The following is a 26348-nucleotide window of genomic DNA, read 5'->3' as shown; positions in this document are numbered from 1 at the left end:
AGAAGACGTGTTTTGTGTGCCTTCCACACCTCTCCCGGCAACACCCACTCAGAAGCGGGCAATACACCTGCAAAGCAGACAGCTCTCATGACTCCTAATTCTAACTGGGAGGAATTGGGTTTGGCCAGGGAAGAAAGGCCAGTCACTCAAAGTCTGCAGAAGAATTATGTTCTAGAAATAGGGATAGATTAACAAATATAACGGGGATGGATTTTCCCCAAATACAGTTTGGCTTGGCTGTTCTCACTTAAGCACCATTTGACACCTCTCCACCCCTTGCCCCATCCTGGCCCACCAAAGAGATGCTTCTCCCAAACACAGCAGAAGCTGACTGCATTCAGGGCCCCTGAGGCCCTGCTCCCTGCTCTCCTGAGGTCCGAGGCAGGCTGCTATCTGACTGCTGGCCCACTCTAAGCTTCCACCATCCTCCTGCCTTACCCCATCCCGCCCCCAGCACAGAAGGGCTGATGGGCCTCTTGGAGTCCAGGGTTATGTGTTTGTAGCCCCTCAGGTCTCTTTGGCTTCAGACACTTCAAGGAGGTGATTAACTTCCCATTGGGATTTTTCTGGTGAGGGTCAGAGAGGCTGTCAGCCTTCCCAGTGGTTTCCTTCAATTTCCTTCCTGAACTGCTATAGCGCACTCAAGTCTGCAGACTAAAGTGACTGCCTGTGGTTGTCTAAGTGACCAGTGGTCAGGGCCCAGAGATGCTCACGAGTTCTTGCTTTAATGAAACACAGAGATCTGTGGATTGCATGGACTTGGCTCTGGAGTCCATCCACAGGAAAGAGAATGTGTATTTTTGAAGGATATCGACACACACCCACAGACTTCAGAAAGTGAAAATACTTCCTTTCCCTATGTGGTTTGCAGACAGTAATTTCCAGCCAGCCTGTGAGAGAAGTGGACAATATGTACTCAGAGCTGGGCTCATCAACCTGCCCACTCCAGCTCTCGCTGGGAGGAGTCTGGGAAGACTTGCCAGGGCTGAGTGCTTCATCACTGGAAAGCAAGCTATCAAGATGAGCCTTTCCACCAAGTGCAAGAAAAGAGAAATGAGTATTTAGGTTCAGAAGCATACCCAGTATCAATCATTATTCTGTCGTGTGCTTAATATCCCAAATCAGATTAGGACATCCCTGAGGGCAGGGCCTGAACCCTCACCCACAGCCCTAGGGCTTAGCACCTGGAGAAGTCAAACTCTGAAAGCAGGCTGCCCTGGTTTTGGCAGTCTTCCCTAGGATGGAACTCTATTTTCAAATATCATCTTTGCTTTTTGCTGCTGTGCTGGACTCAAATATGTAATGAAGCAAAATCAAATGCACATACCAGTGAGCAACAGCTTGGGACCTCATCTGAGCTAGACAGAGTCCAGCCACTTGCTCTGCTCAGTCCACTGTCCAGTTGCCTGGCCTTGCTCCCCTTGTTACAGGACAGGCTGGCCACTCAGACATCCTGCCTGAGTCGGCCTGGCTAGCCTCAATCAGGGAGCCCGACTCTCAGACCCTCTGAGCCTTGATGGCATGCAAATGTGCAGGACAGGCGGAGACACGGAGGAAGACAGGATGCTGGACCAGGAAGGACTAGGATAGAAGGGGTGGGGTGAGACGTTTACACAGATGGGCAGGGACTCCCAAGATGCAAGCTACCAGGATCAGCCTCGCCAGGCCAGGTGCAGGAGGAGTAATGAATATTTAAGTCAACATTCAGAAGTTCATGTAAATCACTGTGTGTTTTTTCCCCTCCGCTATGCTGTGTATCTAATGACCTGCATCTGATTAGGATATCCCCTGGGGGCAAGGTACTGATCCTTTTCTCTCTTAATCTCTTTCCCCACCCTTACCCTTAGCCCCAGGGCTTAGCATACCGGCCACTTGGCAGCCTGCTCGGCTGAGTTTAAAGCTACACTCACTCAGACCAGGGAGTGCCCTGTAAGTATCCAGACTGCCAGCTACCCCTACTAGCACAGAGATTGCTGAACCTTGTACCCTTTGCTGAGCCCCAGTTGGCCTGTTCATTTGGCACAAGGAAGATGTTTCTTCATCCACAGCTAAAGCCGCTATAGAGCCAGAACCTTTCCGGTTCTGGAGAGCTTCTTCCCCTCTCCCTGCATGACAAAAAATCACCTACTTTTAGGCCAAGACAAATTTGGGACAAAAACAAAGCCCCAAACAAGTTGTGTCACTCACTTTGAAATTTTTAACAATAGATGATGGTGGCAAGGGAGTAACAAATGCACTGATCTCCTGGAGCGATTTCTAGATCAAGGCCCTGCGCTGGCCCTATCCCCTGATCCTGCATGAAGGGAGCCAGCCCCTGTGCGCACAGGCCAGGCTGCACTACTCTCCTGCAGCCCCCAGACCCACAGACAGTGACCAAATGTGCACACACACCAGGCAGAGCAGGGGGCTAAGTGTTCTCTGTTGTCATTAAACATCCTTTGTTTCCTTCTGACCCGCACGGGGCCACAATCACTGTTTCCTCTCCACTACGCATGCACACTGGGCTCCTCTAGGCTTCCTGGGAGCCTTCAGCTGATACATAATAAGAGCTGAGACACGCCATGCAAGGTGGGAAATGGGGTGGGGGATGAGTCTTCTTTCCGAGGAGAGAGGCAAGCAGGAAGCTGAGGATGAGAATGAAATGCCCCATGCTTGCAGGGGATGGCCAGGCCAGGTCCCCTCTCACCTGTACTGGTCATAAAGGTGATGACGGTACTGCTGATGCCCTCGTTGTCCCGGGAATAAACCCGCAACGTGTATGTCATCCCGGGATAGAGGTCTGTCAGCTGTATAGGCTGAGCCTGGGCCTTAACTGGGACAGTTTTTTTCGTATGGTTGCCTGGGGAACAGAAACCTCAATCAGCCTAGAGCCAGGCACCAGGAGCTGGAGAGCCAGTGCTTAGGTCCTGGTCACCTGTCAAAGGTAGAAAGTGTGGGGGAAGGGACCAGGGAACCGCGGGTCCAGTCCACCATACAGACCAGGAGGTTTCCAGGCAGCTTCCCTATGCCTGTCTGTGCAATACTAACGCTTTTAAACGACCCTTCAGCTGGGGACACCGTTCCCTCTCCTGAAGTTCGCTTTCCTCACCACAGTCTTCACACTAGACATATTATAACCTACTTCCTTAAACTCTCAGCTTGTCAGCAGATGCTCTGTTGCCCTGGAAGCGATTAACTTTTCACATGGATCTGGCTGGTGAGGGCCAAAAGCCAGTTAGCATCCCTCCTGAAAACCAGAGATGAGCTGGGACTCTGTCTCTTGGCTCTCATTCCTAGTTTCACCTCTCATTTCTCACCATGTGGTGAATTCCCACATCAGAAAAAGTGTGTGCCTGTGCATGTAGGCTGTAGGGTGAATAGGGGTAGTAGGAGCCTGAAAAAGTATGGACCAAACTATGGAGTCCAGGTGCTGTGGATGTGAACTCCTCCTCCAACCAGAGAGAACTAAGTCAGCTTTGCTCTCTCCTGAGAGGGTCTTTGGGTAGGCTATCCCAGGTGGATTTGCTGGCTGGGTTAGTTGGCTTAATTGCTTAGAGCACATACTGAAGATGCCAGGATGGTGGGTTTGACCCTGTAGGAACAGGGTCCTTCACTCAGGGGCCACACTCTGCAGTCCAACGAATCTGTACCCTTGGTCCCAAGCTCCAGCAAAGGGTGAGCAACTCAGCTCAAGCCACCAGCTGGGACAAATGGCTCTGGTCTGTGGCTCTGACTGGGGGCCGCTGGCATTCCTCTGGGAGCAAAGCAGGGTTATAGTCCAAGTCTGTGAACTGGCTCACCCAGTCAAGTGGAGCCTGAGTTAAGGAGATCAATGCAGAGGACAGATTTGGCTCATTTGGGGGCTATTCAGAACCCTCATCCTGGGCAGGAAATGAATGAAGGGCCCCTTTACCCAGGTCCTCCACAGACATGCAATCCTAGACTTCCACTAATGGCTTGAGAAGCCCCCTTCCTTTTCCTTGAGCCTGTTCCTCCCACCTCACTGCCGCCTGAGTGCATATCGATTTCATTAAGCCATAATTAAGCCAGGCTAAAAGGCCTCTCTGAGCCTGGGGGAGTTCACAGGAGCTCTTTAATGGCATCTACCACTACCCGCCGCTGCTGCCGACGCCGCTGCCGCCACCACCACCCCGCACAGCAATGCTTACTGTCGATGTACTCAACCACAAAGTCAGTTCCGGGCCCGAAATTGTGCTTCCAGGTGATGTTGGCCCATTTACTGTTGGGGAGCACCGTGACGTTCCATATGGACTGCTCATCAGGGGCTGGTGGACGGGTTAGAAAAGGGGTTAGTGATGAGGAGGGAGTGGCACCAGAGATATGGAGACACACACATACACACAAGCGTGTGCATGCACGCACATGCCCACACTCGCGCACGCACACATGTACACACAGTCATCTAGGAAAGGGGAGAGTCAGAAATGGCTGTGCACAGGGCCTGACAGAGCTCCAAGCTGCAGCCTTGGTGGCCAGGCCAGAGGTCGCTGTCCAGGGACAAGCAGGTACAGTCGGGAGGACTTCGGAGGGAGAGCTGGAAACTGACTGTGTCCACATAGGTAGCGTTAGGAATGAAAGAGTTTTTTTGTTTTCTGTTTTTTTTTTTTTGAGATGGAGTATTGTTCTGTTGCCCAAGCTGGAGTACAGTGGTGCGATCTCGACTCACTGTAACCTCCACTTCCCAGGTTCAAGCGATTCTCCTGCCTCAGCCTCCCAAGTAGCTGAGATTACAGGCCCCCGCCACCATGCCCGGCAAATTTTTGTAGAAAGAGTGGGTTTTGATCTGTGCCATTTGAGGCTTTAACCTGGACTTATTCCCTTTTCAGATCCCTTGTCATGTCAACAGTGTAAGGAAAGGGGCCAGGAAAAAGGCCGTGTGGCCAGGAGGAGGAGGCCACACAGAGAAGATGTGTGCCAGCCCCTTCCCCTTCAAGCATAGAAGTGCTGCAGGAAGGAGAGGGTTATCTTTAAGAGCCGCGAGTCTTGATGAGATTTGCAGGAAGGATGGACTTTTGAAGCTGGAGGAGAATGGTGATCCAGACAGGTGAGGCTGGTCTAAGGAGCCCCTTGGGTTGTCCTTGGTCAGAGAGAAGCCTGGCTGATAGGTCTAACAGCTTCAGATTGTCTAAAGCCTAGAATCTCAGGGGCCCAAGTAAAGACAATGTGAAGCCTTCCTCTCCCTCACGTGGACTAGGTGCGACCAAGAGAAGATAACTCCTTGACAACCAGCCCTCAGTGGTCCAGACACCAGAAGAATCCTGTTCTGTTGGCGTCTCAGCACCACCGAGTTTTTGATGCCTGATCTCTATGCAACACAGAGGACATTAATTATCAAGTTCCTATGAGCTGGGAGCCACTTTATCAAAGCCATGGTGCTGTCTGAAACCATAGCCTGTGTAGAGGAGAATGGCACTAATCTTCAAACGTAATCATTTTGCAAGAGTCCCAGCAGTCTGGTTACCCCATTTTCCAGCAAAGATTTAATAGTGGAGTACTTGCATGAAGCCTCGTATTTCAAAGACTTTACAAGTGTGGCTGCTGTATATTTTATTAGCATGCAAGGGGGCACTGTCACCAACTCACTTGTCAAAAATAAATGAATAGAGTGCATTGGCGATGCATTTATTCATTATCTATTTGACATGTGACTGAGCCTGCAGGGCTGGGGAAGTGATAAAAGATCTCCTGGTTTTCACTTCAAAGAGGTGCCTTCTGCACTACAACTCTGTCAGGCGTTGGTTGCCCCAGGTGAATATGATTCATATTAAGTGAGGGACCAAGAAAGTGATTCCATTGATGGCACCGTGGGGAGGGGAGAAGGTAGGCTTCTTTGCCTGTCTGCCAGACGCTTCAATTGTACTGGCCACTTGAAGCCATCCCAAATTCCAGCTCCTTAGAATTTCATGGCTCTTGCTGGTGAGAATGAATTGTGATTAGTCATTATTTGGGGACTTGAGTTTCTTCCTCCTCAGCTCTGAGCCCTGTAAATAGCTAGAGAATTTGTGTTTAAACAGTCTGGCCACCAATATGAAATTGACTCAAATCTGGCTGTTTTAAAGGCAATGAAGATTGGGGTTCTTTTAGAAAAGGCCAGGCAGTGGGAAGCCAAGATGATTTAGAGGTGGGAGCTGGAGGAAGGCATTGCCACAGAGAGATCAGGATGATGACCCGGAAGCACTAAAAAGTTCAAAGAGAAGGACCAAGCATGTGAAATATCAACACCGAGAAACACAAAAAGGGTCAGGGAGGGGAAGCATAGATTGTCTCACTGACTCCTGGAATGTAAGAATTAAGGAATCTCCCTGGAAATCTGAAAAAGACAGGCGAAGGACAAATAAAAAGGCCTATTTCACCCTGAGAAGAGTAAACTTATGAAACATCTTTTTCCAAGATGTAAGGCACGATAAAGGTGAACATTCATTTTTAAAGTCCTAGACAGCCATTCTGCTGAAGTGAGGTGAGGATGGTTGAGGGGTGTTCCCAAGGTCTAGATAAGATCAAGGCCATGGCCAGGTCCTCTGCAGCGTCTCACAGAACTTGAGGAGTGAGACTCTGGAGGGGCTGGTCCTATGTGGCAACAAGGCCTGTGTTTCAGAAGGCAAGTAACTCTTTGCTGGGGAAGCAAGAGCCACTTCCTTTCTTCATTTTTGGTTCATCTTTTCTCTGAACTCAAAGCACTTGTAGGACACAAAGCCCCACTTTTTAATGAAAAAGATGCCTCACCGTGGCCCCAAAGAACATCAATCACCAACCCGCTGGTGGCAGCTTCTAATACCCCAGCAGGTTCCTCCTCAGCCAACTTTTTCCGAAAGTGCCTGTTAAGTTCTAGATGGCACCTGTGAAGCAAACCAGCATTTTCAGGGTCTCAGGAGCTCACAGCAGCTATGCCTCTCGTCTTCCCTGACAGCTCACTTAACTCTATGTCATTGAACTGAAAACAAAATCCTCTCATGTCTATTAAGCCTCCATCCTCATTCAGGAGGCTGAGAAAAGTGGAGCAGGGTGGGAGAAAGGAGGCCTTGGAAGGTAAAGGGACTTGCCCAGGAGACAAAGGTGGTGCCCACTGGGTCCTACAATTCTACAACTGTGGCAGAAGAGTTCTGGGTGCTTCCTGGCTGCCTCACGCTGATTTTATAGCTGGCCTGTGAGCTCAGGAAGCTACAGACCTTCCCCTTGTTGGTAATAAAAGACTGATGCTCAGTGCTTGGAAGTATCGCTGAATTCCCCTGGGGTCTCCCCGAACTGGAAGAACAGAGCTTCCTGGCCTGGCTGCATGATACAGGAACAGTGCATTCTCGTGGCTCAGCGTACCAGCCCTGGGATCGATTCTTACCAGGGGCTCTGAGAATGCCCGTAATTTTCCCTCCATGCCTGCATTTGAGGGCTTGGGGAATGTGAGTTTGGCATTAAGGGCCTCCTTGGCAATACAGTTTCCTGGAAGCTCTGACTTTGTAAAAGAAAAGTCTGTAAGTGTTCCTCGCGGAAGGAGAGGCAAGGAAGGGACAGGGGTTCTGGGAACAGAGCTGCCTGGCACAGCCACTCCCTGCTGCTCAGCCTCTAGGCCGGACGCAGACGTGGCCAGGGCAGGAAACTCCCTCAGGCCAGCTGTACAGTATCTGGTCCTTTTCCCCTCCTCACGCTGTCTTCCTTCTGGAGTGCTCGGCTCTGAGCTGACTGCCTGACATGTAGCTGGAGGCGGTCCTAACATCTGGAACCTGGGGGCCCTGCCCAAGGAGCTTGGCCGTCTGTTAAGGAACAGGGATCTGAAGCTAGAATTTGGGGTACTGAGTGGTGGAGGACCACCCAAGGAGTGTGTGTGTGTCAGGGCCAGGCTGGGGAGATCTGGGCCTCCAGGCTACGGGACTGAGCATCCAGTCACGGGTGAGTTTCCAAAGGAAACACAAAGGGAGGTGGTGGCAAACACCACCCCAGACCCCACCTCCTCGCTGGGGGAGCCTGTGGGTTCGTCTGGAGGCCGCTGGGGAGGCGGGCCAGGAGGGGATGGGGAGCATGGGCGATGCGCAGTACCGGATTCGTGTATCTTAGTCCCGGAGGTGGTGGTGGGAGGACTCTCCGTGGTGGTGGTGGCGGCAGCAGTGGTTGTAGTAGTTGTGGCGACGGTGGTGGTGGTGGCGATGGTGGTAGGTGCGACAGTTGGGATGATGGGGACTGTTGTGGCTTCGGTGGTGGCAGCAATGGCAGTAGCATCGGTACTGCTCACAGCGCCCGTCGCACCCACGGTAGTCGGGGGCAATGTGGGAGGAGCTGAGAGGGAAATGTAAAACAGCCGAGTCTGGTTGGTTTGGCTGTGCCCAGCCTGGACACACGGCCCCCGCGTGCAAGGCAGGCAGCCCGGTGAGGAGACGGGGCTTAGTCATCAGGAGCCTCCCCAAGCATAACGGACTGGGTCAGACGGGTCGCAGCAACAGAAGACACAACCATGGGAGAGGAAGAGAATGAAGCCCTGTGTGTGTTTCATTTTCTTCTCATGGTCTGCGTGGCTCGAAACACCCAGCATGCACCCAGCCAAGGATGCGTGAGGATGAGACGGGAAGGGGGCACGGGCTGAATCGCTCAGACCCCAGGGATGGCATGGAGCCCCAGGCCAAACACTGGCCAGATGCCACCCAGACACAGGCCCAAGCAGCACCAGTTGGGTCCAGCCCTGGAGCCCCAGCCTAGAGGTGGGCAGGCGGTGGGGCCCTGTCCAGCAGAGGCCTAGAGTGGCCTGCCATTCCCAACCAATCACTCCAAAATCACCCTTTGTCATGCCTGCATGAGCCCAAACAGCCACCCAAACCCGATGACAGAGAGGGAACAATCTCCACTCTGCGCGGGTGAGCCTTGCACGGCGTTCTGCCTGCCCTCGCCCTCCTCCGGTCTTGGCTCTCCTCGGTCATTCCCCTGCCTCTCCTCCCTCTCTTTCCCTTCTCTGCTCAGTGGTAGCCCTTCCTGCAACCACCCTAATCCAAAGTGACACTTCTTATAACTGCCTTTCTCTCTAGGAACTTTGGGTCCAGGTACCCCAGGTGCTTTCTATTCACATGAGAACATGGGAAGAGGGAGCTAATGGAATAACCCGCACTCAGCAGCACCACCTTCCCAGCCCACAGCAGACAGAGGAGTCCCAGGCAGAGTGAGGCGCATGCTGGGCTTCTTTTCTGCATAAATCTTCATGGGGCACAGAATTGTTCAGATCTGGGCTAACCCTCTCATGACACCCATCTCCCACCCAAAGCTATCCTTGGATGTTGGTCAGCTTGGGAGGGCTAAGCTTATGTATGTGACAACTTTTTCACAGGTCTTCTTTCCTGATATAGAAGGTCATGGAAAGGGCTGCCCTATCCTTACCCGCAGATCTAATATTTGCTAAAGCTGAGAGTATGAGAATGAGGCCAAGCAGAGAGAGACAAAGCCCCCTCTCCTCCTTGCACTGGATCTCCTGTGATCTGACAGCACTCCACTTTCTAGTGTTGACGCTAATGGGGCAGTAGGCAGGGACTTTAAAACACAGGCAGCTAACTCTCACTCCCAAGGAATCCTACCCAGCCTCAAATCTCTCAGGAAAATAATATCCCCGAGAAAGGGGCTAGGGCAGGGAGGGATGCCAGAGAAAGAATTGCCAGAGAGCTTTTTTTAAGGGAGAGTGAAGTGATCCTAAGCCTTCTCAGCCAGAGCCTGCCCAGCAAAAGCCCTTTCATTCCCTTGGGTCTCCAAAATTACAAGTCCCTCTTTGGAGAAGGAGGGAATACTCCTGCTTCCCTGCTAATAAGATCAGAGGTACTACTGTGCCCCGAGGGTGCTGGCCACCGAAGTCACACTGGGCAGCTGACTATGCCCCATACGTTCCAGAGGTTCCTGGGCAGGCTCAAAGCTCACAATGCTATACTCCCCAAACCCCGGTCAACCCACAGACATCAGGGCGGCGTGCGGAGGGGTGAGCGGTGGGGCAACTCTCCCTCTCAGATTCTTTATTTAGGGCTGTGCTCAGTCCAGGATGGCCTCAGGCCTGGAATATAATCTCAGCACTAAAAACACTCAACAAGAGGGAATTCACTTATCCCCACCCACCGACACACATACACACACACACACACACACACACACACACACACACACTGTGCACACATCATACATGGGAAAGCCTGAGAGACCCATGGGGCAAAGGTCAGTTCTCTCCCAGGCCTGCTCCCTGCAGCTCTCATGGCCATAGACACACATGGGCTCTTTCCGCTGCTCTGTGCTGCTGGCACAGACCTGGAGCAATTATTTTGTCTACTTGGGCAGGACTGCTCTGATTTTTTTTATTTTAATTGAGACGGGATCTTGCTCTGTCACCCAGGCTGGAGTGTAGTGGTGTGATCATGGCTTACTGTAGCCTCGACCTCCCAGGCTCAAGCAATCCTCCCACCTCAGCCTCCTGAGTAGCTGGGACTATAGGTCCAGCTACAGGTCCACCATGCTTGGCTAATTTGTGTATTTCTTGTAGAGATGGGGTTTTGTCATGGAACCCAGGCTGGTCTTGAACTCCCAGGCTCAAGCAATTCTCTAGCCTCAGCCTCCCAAAGTGTGCACCTGCCGGAGTTCCTTATCAATAGTATATTTTCTAATAATTTCTGACAAATCAAATGCTTACAAGGTAGCCCTTCTCATGACTATCTAAAAGGCATCATTAGAAAACACTCCCTTTGGAGGAGGTTGCAGTGAGCCGAGATCAAGCCACTGCACTCTAGCCTGGGCGACAGAGCGAGACTCTGCCTCAAGTAAACAAAACAAAACAAAAAAGCAAACACTCCCTTTTAACCTGAATCATCACACCGCGTAGTGCAGGAGCCTGGGCCTCCCTTCCTACAGGTGCAGTGGTGCTACATTTCCCAGGCCCCAGAATCCAAGTCAGTCTTCCCCAAAGCTTTACACTCTCTCATGTGGCCCTCAGACTCGCAGAGACACACACACACTCATACCCCAACAGGGCCATAGCTGGGGGCACACACTTCCCAGGATGTTCCAGTGAGTAGCTGGGGGACAGAGGTGTCAAGAGAGCCCAGGTGACAGCATTTTCCTCACCGGCCCTGCTGGGCAGAGGTAAGGATGAGAGATGGCTCTGAAGATGTTTCTACACTGCATTGTCCCCTCCCCTGATGGCCACTTCTGCCAAGTGTGGCAGAAAGGAAGCATTTTTCTCTGATGATGGCTACCTAGCTGCTTCCTGTCTGGCTCAGGCTTAGTAAGAGGGAGCAAGAGATGAGAGAGAGGAAAGGGGTCACTTTCCGGCAGCCTCCCCGGGGCTCCCACCATTGAAGTTACCATAGAGGATACAACCTCAGCTGGCTAAGGTCACTGCTGGCACATCTCCGACCCACTCATTAGCTGTGTCTATTGTCCCAAGGCAAGACAGGGCCTCCAGAGAGCTAGGGAGGGTGGAGGAAAGAAGAAAAGCCTCCGAGGGAAGGTGCAGAAGAGTCAGGCAGTGAGCTGTCAGGGGGCTAGTACAGGTGGGAACGAGAGGAGGACAAGTGTTCCATGGGGAAAACCTTCCACTGCTCAGGTCTAAGGAGATTCAGATTATTTCATCCCCTGGGGCTGAGGTGGAGGAGAGGATAGAAGAGCAACGAAGCTGAGAAGTAGGGCTTACCAACAGAGCAGCACCAGGCTGGGCAGACACATGACTGGGCTAGGATGTCATTTCCTGCCGCAATAGGAGCTACAGGTTTGGAAGCAATCCTGGCCAGTGCTCAGTGGAGACCATCAGCCTGGCGACCAAGGACAGCGGGCAGAGACTCTCTGTTAGCTAAGGGGGGATCCTGAGTGGGCTTCGGCTGGAAGCACAAGGCCCTTCCTAGATGGCAGCGTCAACCTCACAGGTTTGTGACCTAATGCACACTGGAAGGCACCCTGGCTGCGGCCAAGGGTTTTCCAGGTGGGTTTCAGGGAGCACCATGCATGAGATGGAGAACACTGAGGAGAGATGACATGTGTCATTCATCTTTCTGTCCCAGAACCTGCCACGGAACAGGGCACCTATCAAGAGCCCACCAAACATTTGCAGACCTGAGCTGGGTCAAAGAAGAGAACAGCACTTCCTTACATTCCAAGGTGGAAGGTTTAGTCCAAAAATGTCCACATGGCGTGTTGACTACCCCGGCCAAATCACAGATTGTCAGACAGACGGGCAGCAATCCTAAGAGACTACAGATACAGGTGGATGAGAGGGATTATCTTCACTGGGTGAGAGATGAACAGGGCAGTTTGGGGAAATAGTGCCCAGGTTTGGAGAGGACGAGAGGGAAGACAGCAGTGGGCCGGACGCCAGGCCCACGTCAGAAACATGGAACCCGAGTTTCGTTGCTTGGCACCTGCTCATTGTGCAGAAGGTTCTTACGCATTTAAAGCTGAGAACAGCTGATGTTATCAGCACATCTCATTTCCAAAAAAGTGCAATCTGCCTCCACTGCCATGTCACACGGAAGCTGGAGCCCAGGAAACATTTGATTGAGACCGTGAGCTCATGCTGGATGAGTGTAGATCTTTTCTAAATGGGAAGTAGGAAGTGGGGTGATTGCAAAGATACCTCTCACCCACTCAGTAGAGGGACAGCACAGGCCGGCACAGATGCCCACTGAACAAGACAGACTGCCTGCCACCAGGCCCACCTGCCTTGGGTCCCAGGGTGCCAGAACAGGGGAGGTGGACGGGGAGCTGCTTCCCCATTGAGCTTGCAGCTGATTCGCCTGGTGCCCTCCCTGCGTTTCCTCTTCGTCACGGGAGAGACTTACGTAAACTTCAAGCAGGAAGTCAGGGAGGCCCCCAGTGTGGCAAGGATGGCTCTCACCCTGTTCCCCAGGCCTGGGATCACCTCTCTGCCTCACATCTTCACAGGGGTGTTCAGACCTTGTGGGGAGGCACTGGGGTGGTGGGTGAATGTTGAGGACTGAGGGAGAGAGGGAAGGATGATGGCAGCTCACCATCCACAGATCTGGCCGCAAAACATACACAAACTGAAGGAAGCAGGGTATGCAACAGAAATAGAATCAACCTAGGATGGGGGTGGGGATGAATAAGCAAAGGCGAGGAGGAAATCGAATTGGGCAAGGTGGCATCCCCTTCATAAGCCAACCCTCAGATTCCTGGCCCGGTCCTCAGCCCTCCCTCCACTGCCTGGCATGTAAGGAGGCTCTGCTGAGCACTTGCTTGTAGCCTTTGCTCTGCCAGGGTGAATCCTGTTCTCATTTCCCATCTGATGTAATTCAGGCTCAGAGGAGGGCCTGGAAAGGAACCCTGGGGTCCCCTGCCTCGTTTCTCCAGCCTGGGGACAGGCCAACTGTGATGAAGAGCCCTTTGATGACCCTCAAACCCATGACATGAGGACTGGAGAGGAGTAACTTGATTAGCAGGTCCTAAGCCCAGAGCTGCCCAGCACCTTAGTCCACTGTAGATCTACCTCCCATACCCCGAGAGTGGAGACTGTTCTTAACGATAAAGACTTGGAAAAGCTGGGTTTCTGAAGGGTGAGGAGATAATCAGCCCACGGTGCCTGCTGAGACTCCAGGAACTGGAGCACCTGGCCCTATCCATGGACATGCTTGCTTGTTCTCACTGAGCAGAGCCCGTGGTGGCTGGCAGAGCCGGTGCCGGGCCCCCATGCAGCATGCGAAGCTGGCATGCACAGCATGTTCACCCTTTCAGGAGATGGCAGCCCCACCAGGAGCCAGCTGTCCCTGCTCCTGCTGCAGCGCGCCTTCTAGGGCCACAGCTGGGGACACTGCTCTGAGCTGTCAAGCCCAGGCAAGGACTCAGGTGGTTAACGGGAAGTAATCTACTCAGTGTCAGAATGAAACTGCAGCTCCAGAGAGCAGGTCAGGGCCGGTGTGTGTGTGACCCCTGCTGAGCCATTCTCCTACTCAGCAGGGGGCAAATAGTTTGGGAAGGGGGGAAAGTGGGCTTGCTCTCCTCTGGTCCCATCCTCCACACACATCCCTCTTGACAGTCTGGCTTCCCAACCACTGAAAGGGTGAGTCTGGAGCATGCTTTCAGCCTGAGCCTCTCCCTCCTTGTCCGCCCTGGCTGGGCTGGGCTCCGCCTGCGCTGCCCCATGCCATGCCCATTACCTCCGCGGCTGGTACGGTACCTGCGGTTGGAGTAGCTTCAGAACACAGCGCCCAAGATGGCCAGACAGAGGGAGAAAGGATGGAAAAGGGAAGAGAAAACAGAGCACAAGTGAGACCACAGGACAAGGAAAGCAGGGAAGGTTCCAGCCCAAACCTTATGCAGACGGCGTGGCCAGGTGCTGGCTGCTGGCCTGAGGATGCCAACTGGCATTCAGGGTTCACGGTCAACTCCACCTGAGTCAGGCATGTTCCTACAGAAACCTTTCCACCTGGGCCTTGGAGACCTTTCTAACACACTGTTTCTACCTCGATTCAAGGACTGGACATCTAAAAGGTGGCTGCAGGGACAGTCCACTCAGAGCATTATGTTCCCAGCTCTGTCCTCAACAGCATGTCCTGCTCTGGCTAGGTTGGCATGACCTTTGAGCAGGCTGGGTGACGCTCCATGATGCCAGGAATTGAGGGGATAAGGAGTAGGTGGTGTGGGAGGACACCAACTCCAGTCAAAAGGATGGTTCCTGTCTTTGGGGGAAGATGCTGAATAGTGGGATGGATAGGAGAGAGGGAGCATGTTCAGCTGCACCCACTCCACACCATCGCAACCTTGGAAGGCGGGAACTTTGAAGGATGGAGCCTGGAGCCCCTCTCCTGGTATTCCGTCACTCCAATTCTTCCCCTCCAGTTGGACTTTATGAAGTTAGAAACCCAAGTTTGGACTGAGAGCCCTTTCTTTTTTCTTTCTTTTTCTTTTTTTTTTTTTTTTGGACTGAGAGCCCTAAGTGAAATTCTTGAATTTTCTGCAAAGCCCTAAGTTAAGAAAAAAGCCTCTATTTGTCCTTTTGTCCCCTGGGGCTGCAGAACATTCTCTGTGGTGGTTACTGGGGCTGGACAATAGGGCTTTGTTATCTGATGTTCTGTATTGGGGTGCACATAGGGAGGGAAGAAGGGGCTCTCTTTATCTATCTATTTGCAGAATTGAGTAATCAAGAAAGTGCATCATGGCCTGGCCTGGCCTGGCCTTTGGTGACAGACACACATCAGCCACTAACCTAAGTCCCCCTGCCCTAATAAACTTCCCGAGTGCCCAGGGGCTTGGGAGAGTGCAGAAGAGCACAGCAGGAGGGAGAGCTGGTTGTGTGACTCACTCCTGGTTTCTGAGACCAGAGAGGGATGCAGAGCGGGCTGTCAGCCTTTCTCTGCTTCTGCCTGGCCCCTCTTCTCCTGCCTCAGCGCTGGTCTACTGGCTAGAGTGGTGGGCTGGGGAAGGATGTGGGCAGCTTGTGAAGCTGCCTGGGATCCCGGGGTGACGCAGCGGGCCTGGTAGCCCCAGAGAAGGCAGCACTGATGCTCTCCTGGAATGCGGGTAGGGGTGGTATTCAGAAGACCCCGTCTGGGCCTGGGCCAGGCCACGGGACCTGACCCTTCTGTGGAAAGCACCAGACACGATGACTTGTCAGCTTCCAGAGTGCCCACTCACATCACCTCTTCTCTGGAGTCTTCCCGTGAAGACTGAATCCCCTTCTCTGCCCAGCCACTGCGCCCCCTCATTTAGACATGCAATTAGATATTCTTATAGATGACTCCCCCTCTAGATGGTGTGAGCTTCTTGTTACCTTTGTATATCCCTTGTGTGTGGCAGTGTCTGGCACCTCACATTGTGGGTACTCAAGAAATGGCTGTTGAATAGACCATTGTATCTCTGGAGACACACGGGGGTCCCCAGCCTTTCCCAGAGGGTGTGCCAGTATTGAGGCTTTTGCAGCCTTGCCTCCTCGAGAGGTCCCAGACTGCACATTCCCCTGATGCCAGTGCGTGTGCGGGTGAGCCTGGAGCCCCCTCTAGTGGAGTCCTCAGGCAGGTGCAGCTCTGGTGGGGCTGAAATGCTGCCAGATGACGCCTGGACCCAGGTGATGAACTCATTTGCTCTTTGTGAAGCTGGCTTGGCAAATGGCTGTTTCCTAACTCCTCCTCCTCTCTGCAGCCTGACAACGCATCCAATTCAGGCTGCAAGGAAGGACCACATTCTCTGCTCTACTCATGATGCCAGTAACAGCGTCATCCTGACGGTTTCCCCTACCTCCTTGAACCCATGTGCCTTCGAAGAAAGAAGGTTGTCCCCAGAGCCCTCATGGGAGCACTCACAATCATATTCCTGCCTCCCTCAAGAGGTGAACACTCACTGTTCTTTGGAGTTCATTATGATTTCTCTCATTTCTCAACTCATGCTCTCTTCCTTATTCCTCTACAAGAAGGAAAGATGATAGATGTCAAGTGACTGAGCAAGTCAGGGCAAGTGGGGACCCAGGTGTGACCACAGTGGTCCAAGGAGAGCTGAGCTCCAGATACAATGCCAGCACCTACCTCTCACACATAAGATGGGTTCTCACCTTCCGAGGGCTTGAGGACTTGCAAGTCTCATTTCCTCTCCATCCCAGGCAGCCAGCTACAGATCTCAGTGTTTCTCTAGGCCTCGGAATTAGCTGGGACCTTTTACCCCAGGGGCTGCTGCCATGCACCTACCTTCATTCGGGGGTGCTGGTGACTCCTCTGTGACGGCTTCCCCAGAGCCCACCTGCGTCCTGGCGCTGAGGGTAAAGCGGTAGCGTGACACGGGGTCCGTTCTTTGCACCGTGAACTTGGTCTGATTGGGAGAGAAGTTTTCCACTATCTGCTTTCCTACTTTGGTCCCGTTAACTGGGGAGAGAGAGGTAAGTGGAATTAAACTTTAGCAACATTTATTGATGGGTTATATAATCTGCAAGCTGGAGGAAGAACACTTTCCTGACTTTGCTGGAAAGGGAAATGATGGCACCTGCCTGGTGATCTTAAAGGCTTGGTTCAAAGGCAGAACACTCGGCAAGAACTCCCTCCGGGCTCTTTGATTACACCCAGGGTTAATCCTTCTTCACTGATCCTGTTGTCTCTAGCTCACTGCAGAGTTATGTGGCTGATTCAGAAAGATTCCGTTTATATTCTTAAGCCCTTTCAACAAGGACAAAACTCTTCACTTTCTTTCTTCCTTTCAAACAGAACTAGGACAACGCCACTAGGCCTTTTGATTCTTAATGCCTCCTTTGTAAAGTGCCTATTCAATGGACCTCAAAGGGTGAAAGGGTCTGGTCCAGAGATCAATTCAGAACAGCATACAAGCACAGAGTTGGCTATTAAAATTGCTAACAACACAACATTTGGCTCTTTGAGTTTCCTAACGAGGTACGTTACCTACTTTTGAAGGCCTAAAGTGTTTCAAATGTAATGGCACTCCTGTCCCTGCATGGTGATGCTGAGCTCTTGAGGTGGGGTCTTTCCAACCCAGGCTCCTGATTCGGGTCACCCCACAGTCACCGGGCAGCTCTACATGCAGCTGCCTTATCATAAATGACATCTTGTCAAGGGGTGTCCTGACTGTGGACTCCTGTGAGTATACTATCTACCCCATCAGGTGGAAGCTCCAGAGCTTGAGGAACTCTCTCTCCTAGACTCTGTACGTGTTGGAGACTACAAAAGATCCCTAAAGGCATGGCTGTCTGCTTCATTAGACTGGAGGTCCCTTTGTCTCATCAGTGAGACTAGAAGCTCCCTGCAGGCAGAACTATGAAAGGAGAGCAGGGATTGAGTCCCATCTGCCTCCCCTAATCCTATTGGGAACTGTTTCGTTGGCCCCTCCATCCCTCCACAATGCCATCTGCACCCACAGGCTTTCTACCTTGAGTCCTTAGGAAAAGTGGTGAGAATGGGGTTTCTGGTTCCCAGATTATCTAAGAGAAAGGGAAGGGCAGAACGTACAGGCCACATATTTGAGAGTGTATCCAATCATGATCCCATTTGGATGCTCAGGATGATCCCATTCCAGGTTGATTGTCTCCAGGTTGGGCTGCCGGACTCGGAAACGCCTAGGGGCACTGGGTACTTGGGGAAGGAGGAGAGAGCAGGGGAGATGAGGGGGAGGGGGCAGGGAGGATGAGGAAAACACAAAAAACAAAGCACAAGTATGAAGGCATTGACCTCTGGACAACCCCCATGCTCGACACTGCTAAACTGAAGCCTGGGAGAACCGTGAGACGACCGGAGCCCATTGCCCCATCCAGGATGCTATTTCCTTCAGGTCTGAGGACAAACATAGCTCAGACTCTGCTATTTAAGAGAGGAAGAAGTAAATCAGGTTTTCTTCTAGCAACTACTCTGGATTCAGCACATGTTAGGCTCTGATTCTGCAAAGATACCTCGAAATTGGGCAGAGCCATTCCTAGGTAGAGAACCACTTACAGCTGTTTTGTACAGAGGCTGCAGTTCCCTATCCTCAGATAAGGATTCTCATCACTGGGTCCAGGCAGCAGGCCCAGGCTTCTGAGCTGAGAATGTTGGGTTCAGGGGTAAGGAGACAGAAAGCCAGGGTGGAACATCCGGAAGAGGTGGGAGGGTGGGAGTGTTGGGGAGAGGCCAATGATGAAAACCAAACCAAGGGGAGGGAAAGACAGGGATAAAGAGAACAAGAGGGAAGAACAGAGGACAGGAGGAAGAGAAGAGGAAAAATGGGGAAAATAACAATTAAAGAGGGAGGGAGGAGAAACGGAGGAGGATGAAACAGATGCAAAGCAGATAAAAGAAGACTGGCAAGAACAAGGAGATGAACCAGGAACTTTGCAGTCATCTGTTAATTCATGAACTTGAATTTATGTGAAACAAAAAATAGGGGTTTTGACCCCAGGGCCATGTGAAACCATAGGCCTGCAGAAGGCGGGGCTATACTTGGGTATCCCTCTGCAGAGCCACCGCACACACAGGCCGACTATTTCAGTGACGGCTTCTTGAGAACGTGGGGGGAGAACCGTGAAGGTGTTGGGTGCTGGCAAACAAATCAGATGGTTCCAGGCAGTCAGGATGGACGTGCTGCCTTCTGCCTCGGAAGGTGGTGGGGTGGCCCAGGTGCCCGCCGTGCCCTCGGGGATCAGTCTGCATAACCCGTCTGGAATTATGTCAGCAGACCTCACAGGTCTTCTCTTGAGATACAACCTCCTCGCAGGGCAGGTCACCTTGGCGATGGTGGTCTGGGAATGGCTGTAGTGGCTCGGCTTGCAGGTCATCCGCTCCTGGAGGCCTCGCAGAAGTCACCTTGTGCCATCCATGCTGAGCCACGCTGGAGTTTCTCCAGGCCCAAGGTGTGTGCCACCCTTCTCCTGCCCCACCCTGAAGAGCTGCAGGCCAGACCTACCTCCTTCCGGGGTGGTGAACTCCTTGGTCTCACTGCGAGGCCCATCACCTCTCCCATTGACCACAACCATCTCCAGCTTGTAGTTACTGTAGGGGAAGAGGCGGGACACCACGCCACGGAGGCGGTCACCAGGGAAGCTGGCTTGCTGTCTCTTCTGAGACACCCACAGGTTCTTCAGCAAGCTGCTCTCCCTCCAGTAGTAGGCCTTCGGGACAGAGGCAGGCTGGTGAGGGGTCAGGCAGGCAGGGCTGGGTTAGTTGTTAGTGGTGGTGGTAGTGACCGGTCTTTCCTTTGCTTGCTACAGCCTCCAAGTCCCAAATGACCTCATCAGTCCTATCCAGGCTGAGGAAGCAGCCTTTTAATCCCCGCTCATTAGCCACTCCTGAACATGAATTTATATTAAACAAGAAATAAGGGTTTTGGTTCCAATTATTTTCTGATCCATGCCACGTCTTTGGGGAATGAGCAAGTTGGCCAAACTTACATCTGAGCTGCTCCATCATGAGACTGATTTCCAAGGTGGGTACCAGGTTGCTCAGGGAGTCCGTGCCAGAACCAAAAATAGTGAGCCAAGGGTCCAGGCATGGAAAGCTCCACTCTGTGCTCAAAGACCACATCACCTTGAATTGGATTAGTATGGTTTAGATTGACGGCAGGCAGCAGTTGAAAGGTAGCAAGTTACCCCCGGAAGTCTGAATATGAGAAAGGGTTGATTTAATCCTTTGAAGTAAAATGACTTCTTTTCATATTGTTGGAAGATCTTTAGGGATGAGACAGTCACATGTCCAAGTCAGTGGGATGCCAGGCTGCATGGTAGCAGAGCTTGGATGGGAAGGGACAGCTATGGAAGATGGTGGTGTTGGAGGGGGCAGTGGAATGAGTTTGGGCAACAAGAAGTCTCTAATTAGCAGTGGGTAAGAAGCCACAGGTCAGTTGGCCACGCCAGTGTCTCCCAGGCTGCCTGTGGCAAGGTAGGAAGGGGTCCAGACTTAGAGGGGGACCCATGGGGAAGCTTTAGCCAGAAAAATCTCTAAGCAAGTAGGTTAAGGGTGCAAGTCATCTGTGGGGAAGAGCTCATTCAAGTGTACACATCACGTTGCCTTCTTTCCCCTACTGGCCAAATTCATTTCCTGGGAAGAGACTAGCCTCTCTTGCTCTGCCTCCAACTGTCCATCAGCCAACTCCTGATGACCTCTGAGGCCACAGAACGTGCATTAATCACAGTTACTGCCTCCCTCACTTTCCAGCCAACTTTTAATTAGCGCTACTCAGAAGGGAGCGCCGTGTATACCCTGGGTGCTCTCTCTCTTCTTCCCATCTGAGCTCACCCTTTTGAAGAGGATGGATGATAGAGCAGAAACTGCTCTCAGGCAGGGAGGACCAAGAGAAGCCAAGAGCCTTGATAGTCCATATACTGGGTTATCTGGAGTTGGCTGCGACAACAGGGAGGGCATTTGCATGCTTTCAGTGGCTTTGCCTGTTAGTTGTGGCTTAGGAGATAAGGAGCCCAGTAGGGGCCATTGGGAGAGGGGAGGGGAGTAGCTCAGCGGTGCCTCAACACTGCTCTGAAGATACATGTGTGCCCACTCACGCATGTATTCCAAACGCAACGTGCTATGCAACACCAACCCAAACCCACCACCTTTCACGTGATTTTCTGCTGAGCAGAATCTCTCAGCATATCTGTTGGACACATCTGGGTGTATATATATATATATATATATATATATATGCGTATATATATACACACACACACATATATATATATACACACACACACACATATATATATAATTTTTTTTTCTGGGTATATTTTTGAACATCTAACCCTAGACATTATCTTCTTGAGTCAACCCTGGATTCAATAAACAACGCTAGGGTTTCTTTCAAATATCTTATAGCCCGCATTTGCTACCCCTGGCCCTGGTTAGTGAGCTGGGTAGTTAGGTGAGTCCGGAGCTGGCTTCCTCACTCGGTACTCTCTGAGCTGGCCCTGGACCGTGTCGGAGTAGACGCGGTTCCACTGAAGGCTGATGGCTGTGCTGTTCATGACTCGGACTTTAACTTCAGTGGGCGCAGCCCTGGGATCTGCAATGTGTTGGGACAGAGAGCTGGTTATGCAGGCAGGACTCTACAGTTGCTTCTGACTTGTTCTCTGCTGGCCTGTACCTGCACTCCACTCAACACTGGGCATTCCATGAGGGCAGGGGCCATATCTCCTCCATGAGACAGTACTTGAAAAAGTGGTGGGGAAGGCTCAGGACAAAAGGGTGGCAGTCTAGGTGGAAGAGACTCTGCCTACATGTTCAGAGGGCACTCATTTGCCCCCTCCTGTGCTGGGTAGTTTCCATCAGCCCCTTCGTTTTGTCCTCCACCCTTCCTCACCCTGCTCCGTCTCCTGGGGGGCTGCCCTCGCTGGACCTTATCAGCGGGGTTCCCTTGTTCTCAGGCTTCCAGATGGGTTTAACCAATAGCAGGTGCCAACAGGAGGCCCCAGGGCAGGAGAAGAGGAAGGGTGGGTATCAATTCCCCTGGGTTCCTCTTTGCTGGGCTACAGGTTGACAGCCTTGTACTCTTCTACCTAAGGCCATGGCTCCTAAGGGCGGTCCTTGCTTGCTGTGGACTCATCTATCCCCGTCCATGGAGGCTCAGAGTGGCATAATGGCTTCCTGCTGCTGCCAGCCTTTAAGGTGGATCACGTATCTTGCCGTTTTCCCTCCAACTCTCTCCACACGTTATAAATAGTTCCTTTTGAGAATGCATCTGTTTCCTGGCAGGAAACATTACCCACAGGTTGAAGATGCCCTAATCTAGTTCAGGAAGTGATTCTGACCCTGCGACTACCTGGAAAGGGAAGGCCCCTCCCTCCCCCATAACTGATTCTTGTCCCTGTTTTCTCCACTCTGCCGCAAAAGCAGCTCTGCCTCGTCCCTTCTAATCCATCAGAGCGTGGGCCGCAGGGTAGAAGCGTGCAATGGAAACTGTGGGCTGGTCCATAAAATCCATGACCAGATGCCACCCTTTCTGCACTTACCATCCAGTGGTCCCATCGGGCTCCTGTCTGAAGTGCCCACCACCATGGAGGTGAGGAGTGGGATGGACAGAGGACCTGCTGACCCTCTCTGCTCATCTCCCTTGTGAGTCCAATCCATAATCACCTCTGGGAAAGTGGGGCCCAGGGCCCAGCCCTCCCTTCCTCCATCTCACTGTTAGGAATGCCACTGGCCGTACTCTTGACTGCTCCTTCTAAGTTCCCCCACTCAAGACTGTCCCTCCTCCCTTCCTTCTGCCCACTCCATCCACCTACATGATCACTTCTCCGATCAGACCCAGACTCAACAGGGCGCAAAGGCCCTCAACCAGGAGGGGACTCCCCGACACCCCTGCTTTGTTTAGCAGCCTACAGGATTGATGTGCTGGGGACAGAGAGGCCACCACCGTCTGGGAAGCCAGGCATATATGTCCATGTATATGACCAGAATCTTGTTGTTTTACCAGGGGCCAGCCCCCAAAGACCTTCTCTTTCTGTGCTCAGTTCCCAGGGCTGGGAGCCGCAGCGGGAGCACCAGGAGGGGCTGGTCTGGGGTGCTCCTGTCTGGTTGCTGAGGAGGCCTCCTGATCCCTCAAGGCTTCCCCGGGGGAACCTCTGGCCAGCTGCCCTGCTTCCTACAGAAGTGTCTAATTATAGCTCTTTAGGATGGGTAGTCCTGATGTTTTTTCTTGGTACTAGTATGGCTTAGCAGTAAGGCAGACTGCCAGGGGATCGGAAGACCTGGGCTCTGTTCTCAAGACTGACATTGATGACTATGGAACACTGCCGAGGGTTTTCCCTTTTTGGGCCTCAGTTTTCACATCTGTGAAATGAGAATTCTGGACTGGGTGATGACATTCAGTAATTCCAACTACGTTCGGATGATATTTCCACTCCTGACATTACTGGGTGCCTGTCTGCTCTAGGTCACTACAGAACATTTTTCCTTCCTGGGAACTGGCTGTCCTCCCATACCCACCCCAAGGTTCCTGGCCTGTGAGCGTGGCCTCGTGCGACCTAGCCACAAGGGTCCTGATGGGGGGACGGGGAGGAGACTACTCACAATCTTCTCCGGAGTAACCGATGACGGACTCTGGCTCAGGGCCCTTCCCGAAGTCATTTTCAGCCTGGACTCGGATCTCATAGGGCACGTAGACTGGGGTCTGCCCCACCACGTAGCGAGAGCCCCACACTGTGACGTTGTTCCAGGCCTCTCGAGTCTCTCTCCGCCTCCACTTGACAATGTAGCGCAGGTTGGGGCCAAAGGCCGAGGTGGCATTCATGGGCTGGGCAGAGGGACAGACAGGCTGGAGAGGCTGCCAGAGAGGGGCCCAGATCCACCCACAGCTTGCCCTCTCTTGCTGTGCCAGGCATCCCTTCCAGATGTGCCCAACACTGGCCTGCCCCCTTGCAGGGTAGGGAAGACCATATCCCCCACCCCAGTGAGTCCCCCAAAAGCCCAAGGTCCTGTGAACCCAGCAGCATGCAGATTTTCTGTGACACAGGCTTCGCCTGAGACCCAGTTACTCTGACTCTGAGAGCCACCCGCATTTGTAGGTGCAAAGGTTTTATTTTCAACAAAACTCCTTCCTGTGACAGGAGCAACCAATAAAGCAAAATATAGACAAAAGGTAAACTTCTCCAAAGTCAGAAGAAATGAGTTGTGGTTAACCACAGCATGGCTCCTGCTAATGAACTCAAAATTCCAGAATGGACTTTAGTTCTACCGAATTTGTGTGTGTCTGTCCTGTCCTTCCCAAGAGGTCAGAGTTCTTTAAACATGGGTGTGATTCTGCTCTTTATTTTCTAAGGGCCTGGCCCAGGAATCAGTCCTCTTGGAGCCTGCTATACAGAGCCACAGACCAGGGTCCTGAATCTGGGCTCAGCCCAGCTGCCGTTGCCCTGTTTGGCCAAGGCTGCTGTGGGAGCAGCCTTCAGAAAGACAGGGAAGGTCATGATCCCAAACACTGCATCTCCCAGTTTCCATTACTCATGGCAGAAGCTCAGAAATGTTAATATTTCAGTGGCTGCGTTTGCATTCTCAGACTGGGAAGTGGTTTGGGAAAAAAGTCATTTTGAGACCACATACTCCAGTTTTGGTTTGGAAAATGTAGTCAGTGAGCCAGCATGAAGATGGGATTTTCTAAGACCAGAGGGAGTCTTTGGAATGACCTAGTCCATTCTTGGACCAAAAGAAAGCCTGTACTGGACACATCTCAGATGTTGGTCTCTCCCCAGCTCCCACAAATCTCCAGTGAAAGGGCCCTAGGACACACCAGAACTTGGTTTGGTGTTGTGCTTAGATCTTTTCTAAAGTCTAACCCCAGTCCCTCCTCCTTCAAGAGAAGTCTGCTTGATTTTGCTGCATCCTCTATGCGTTTTGCTAGACTGGCAGTCGGTGGACCCTGGTCCCCTCTGCTCCTGTCTCCTCTCTGAAATCTTACACTTAGACATTTGTCCTGTTTGGTTTCTGGATGCCCAACTCAGAGAGGAGCTTGGTTTCTCAAAGAAGAATGGCCACCAAGACCAGCCAGAGAGTCTGAACCACATCATGGCCTCGTAGTGTCGGGGCATCAAGGGAGAGGGGCTCCCGGTGCATGCGGCAAGGTGAGCTGCTCCACTGGGGCTGGGAGGGCCTCTTACCGTCCACGTGATCTCCATGTTGTTCTTTCTGGTCCCCTCTCCCTTCACGTCACCAGGATTGGACTCGGGGGCTGGAACCCAAACAGACACAGGCTCAAGTCCAATTTGTGCCTTTCCAGGGCAAGGTAAGGAACCTTCCTCTGTCCTACCTGATGGGTCTGTTCTATGCTCTGTCTTTCCTCGGCATCTATGTATACGCTTGGTCTGGTATGTAAATGAGCTTACTCTGTGCATGATGTGCCTTTTGAGCTGAGATTTAAACTCCCAGAGCAGGGCTAATTTCTTCTGAATTTTAATCCTTTACCAGACAGCATTTATCATAAGGCTTTCCACACTGTGGGTGGTCAGTAAGCCAACTCAATGTGGATTAGCTCCTTTGTGGATTATCCACTAAATGTGTTTCATACCAGACTGGCTTATCCCTGGCATTTAACATTTTTTTTGGGCAGCATCTCTACCCTCTATGAGCTGGTGTGATTTCAGAAATCCAAATATTACCCAAGAGTGTTAGGAAAAGAAATCTGATGTAATACCAATTTATATATTTCTCACACTGAATTATGTATTTCTGCTGTACCTCTTTGCCACAGCTCTCCCCTTTAAAGCAGATAATCAAGAATTACTAATAATAAAAATGGAAGTTAGCATTTATCATGTGCTCACTACATGCCAGGCATCATAGTAAGTACCTGGCACACATTCTCAAATGTTCACAACAGCTCTGTGATGTAGGTGTTATTATTACTCTCTGCCTCACAGATGAGGCCGGGCCTTGGAGAAGTTAAGTAACCTAAGTTCACATGGCTGGGAATGGGGGGATCTCAGTGTGAGTTTGGGGTGCGGGGTTCCGGAGCCTTCTCTGGCAGCCCTCGGGTACTCACGTGCTCCACTGGTTCGGTAGCGCTCGGATGGGAGGCTGGGGTGGCTGCTCCCAACCTCGTTGATGGCAATGACACGGAACTGGTAGTTGACATACGGGGACAGCCGGAGGACGGCTGAGTTAACGCTGCCGGGGTACTTGGAATGGTCATGCCAGACCCCAGGTTGGAACTGGTCTTCTTCAAACTGGACGACGTAGTCTGAGTGGGCAAGGAAAACAGAGCTGTTTCGGGAGCTCAGTTAGCAGTGGTCTTCTTTAAAAGCACTTCCTTCTTGGCTTCCATTGATCTTTATAATCTCTCTCACACAAAGGCACAAGGAGAATTCTTCCCAAGGCACAGGAAGAGACACCAAGGCCTCTGTACATTCTGAGGTTAGCCCAGGACACACATCAAGCGAGGCAGAAGTGGGGCTGGAAACCAGGAAAGGCCTTCGGTTTAAGGGTGTTGCCGTCCCTCTTTTCCAGCTTTGGGGT

The 26348-nt window shown here is 52.0% G+C and overlaps 1 protein-coding gene across 51 annotated transcripts in view, besides 1 other annotated feature; it reads right to left on the bottom strand.

The window, feature by feature from the left end:
- The window catches only part of NFASC (neurofascin), a 194171-nt gene that overhangs the window by 17388 nt on the left and 150435 nt on the right, over positions 1–26348 (bottom strand). For 16 of the 51 annotated variants that reach the window (XM_011509316.2, NM_001378329.1, XM_011509318.2 and 13 more), the window contains 11 exons: positions 25876–26073; positions 24995–25065; positions 23415–23637; positions 21293–21408; positions 19321–19525; positions 17895–18017; positions 16629–16802; positions 14129–14143; positions 8029–8265; positions 4149–4265; positions 2687–2839 (listed from right to left, as the gene is read on the bottom strand). In XM_011509316.2, coding sequence (XP_011507618.2) covers positions 2687–2839; positions 4149–4265; positions 8029–8265; positions 14129–14143; positions 16629–16802; positions 17895–18017; positions 19321–19525; positions 21293–21408; positions 23415–23637; positions 24995–25065; positions 25876–26073 — 1632 coding nt within the window. Of the gene's footprint in view, positions 1–2686; positions 2840–4148; positions 4266–8028; positions 8266–14128; positions 14144–16628; positions 16803–17894; positions 18018–19320; positions 19526–21109; positions 21409–23414; positions 23638–24994; positions 25066–25875; positions 26074–26348 lie in introns of those variants that run through there. The other 35 variants (XM_047450000.1, XM_047449996.1, NM_001365986.1 and 32 more) reach the window with 12 other exon arrangements.
- Positions 15711–15800: an enhancer, noted in NCBI's record as "active region_2373". NCBI's record gives its function as "activates an Ori minimal core promoter by ATAC-STARR-seq in GM12878 lymphoblastoid cells {active_cell/tissue: GM12878}" and the evidence as "EXISTENCE:reporter gene assay evidence [ECO:0000049][PMID:35858748]".

Source organism: Homo sapiens, chromosome 1 (genome assembly GCF_000001405.40).
Source record: "Homo sapiens chromosome 1, GRCh38.p14 Primary Assembly".
NCBI classification, from domain to species: Eukaryota; Metazoa; Chordata; class Mammalia; order Primates; family Hominidae; genus Homo; species Homo sapiens.
The sequence above is the reverse complement of the archived record's forward strand: the minus strand, read 5'-3'. Positions and strand labels throughout refer to the sequence as shown.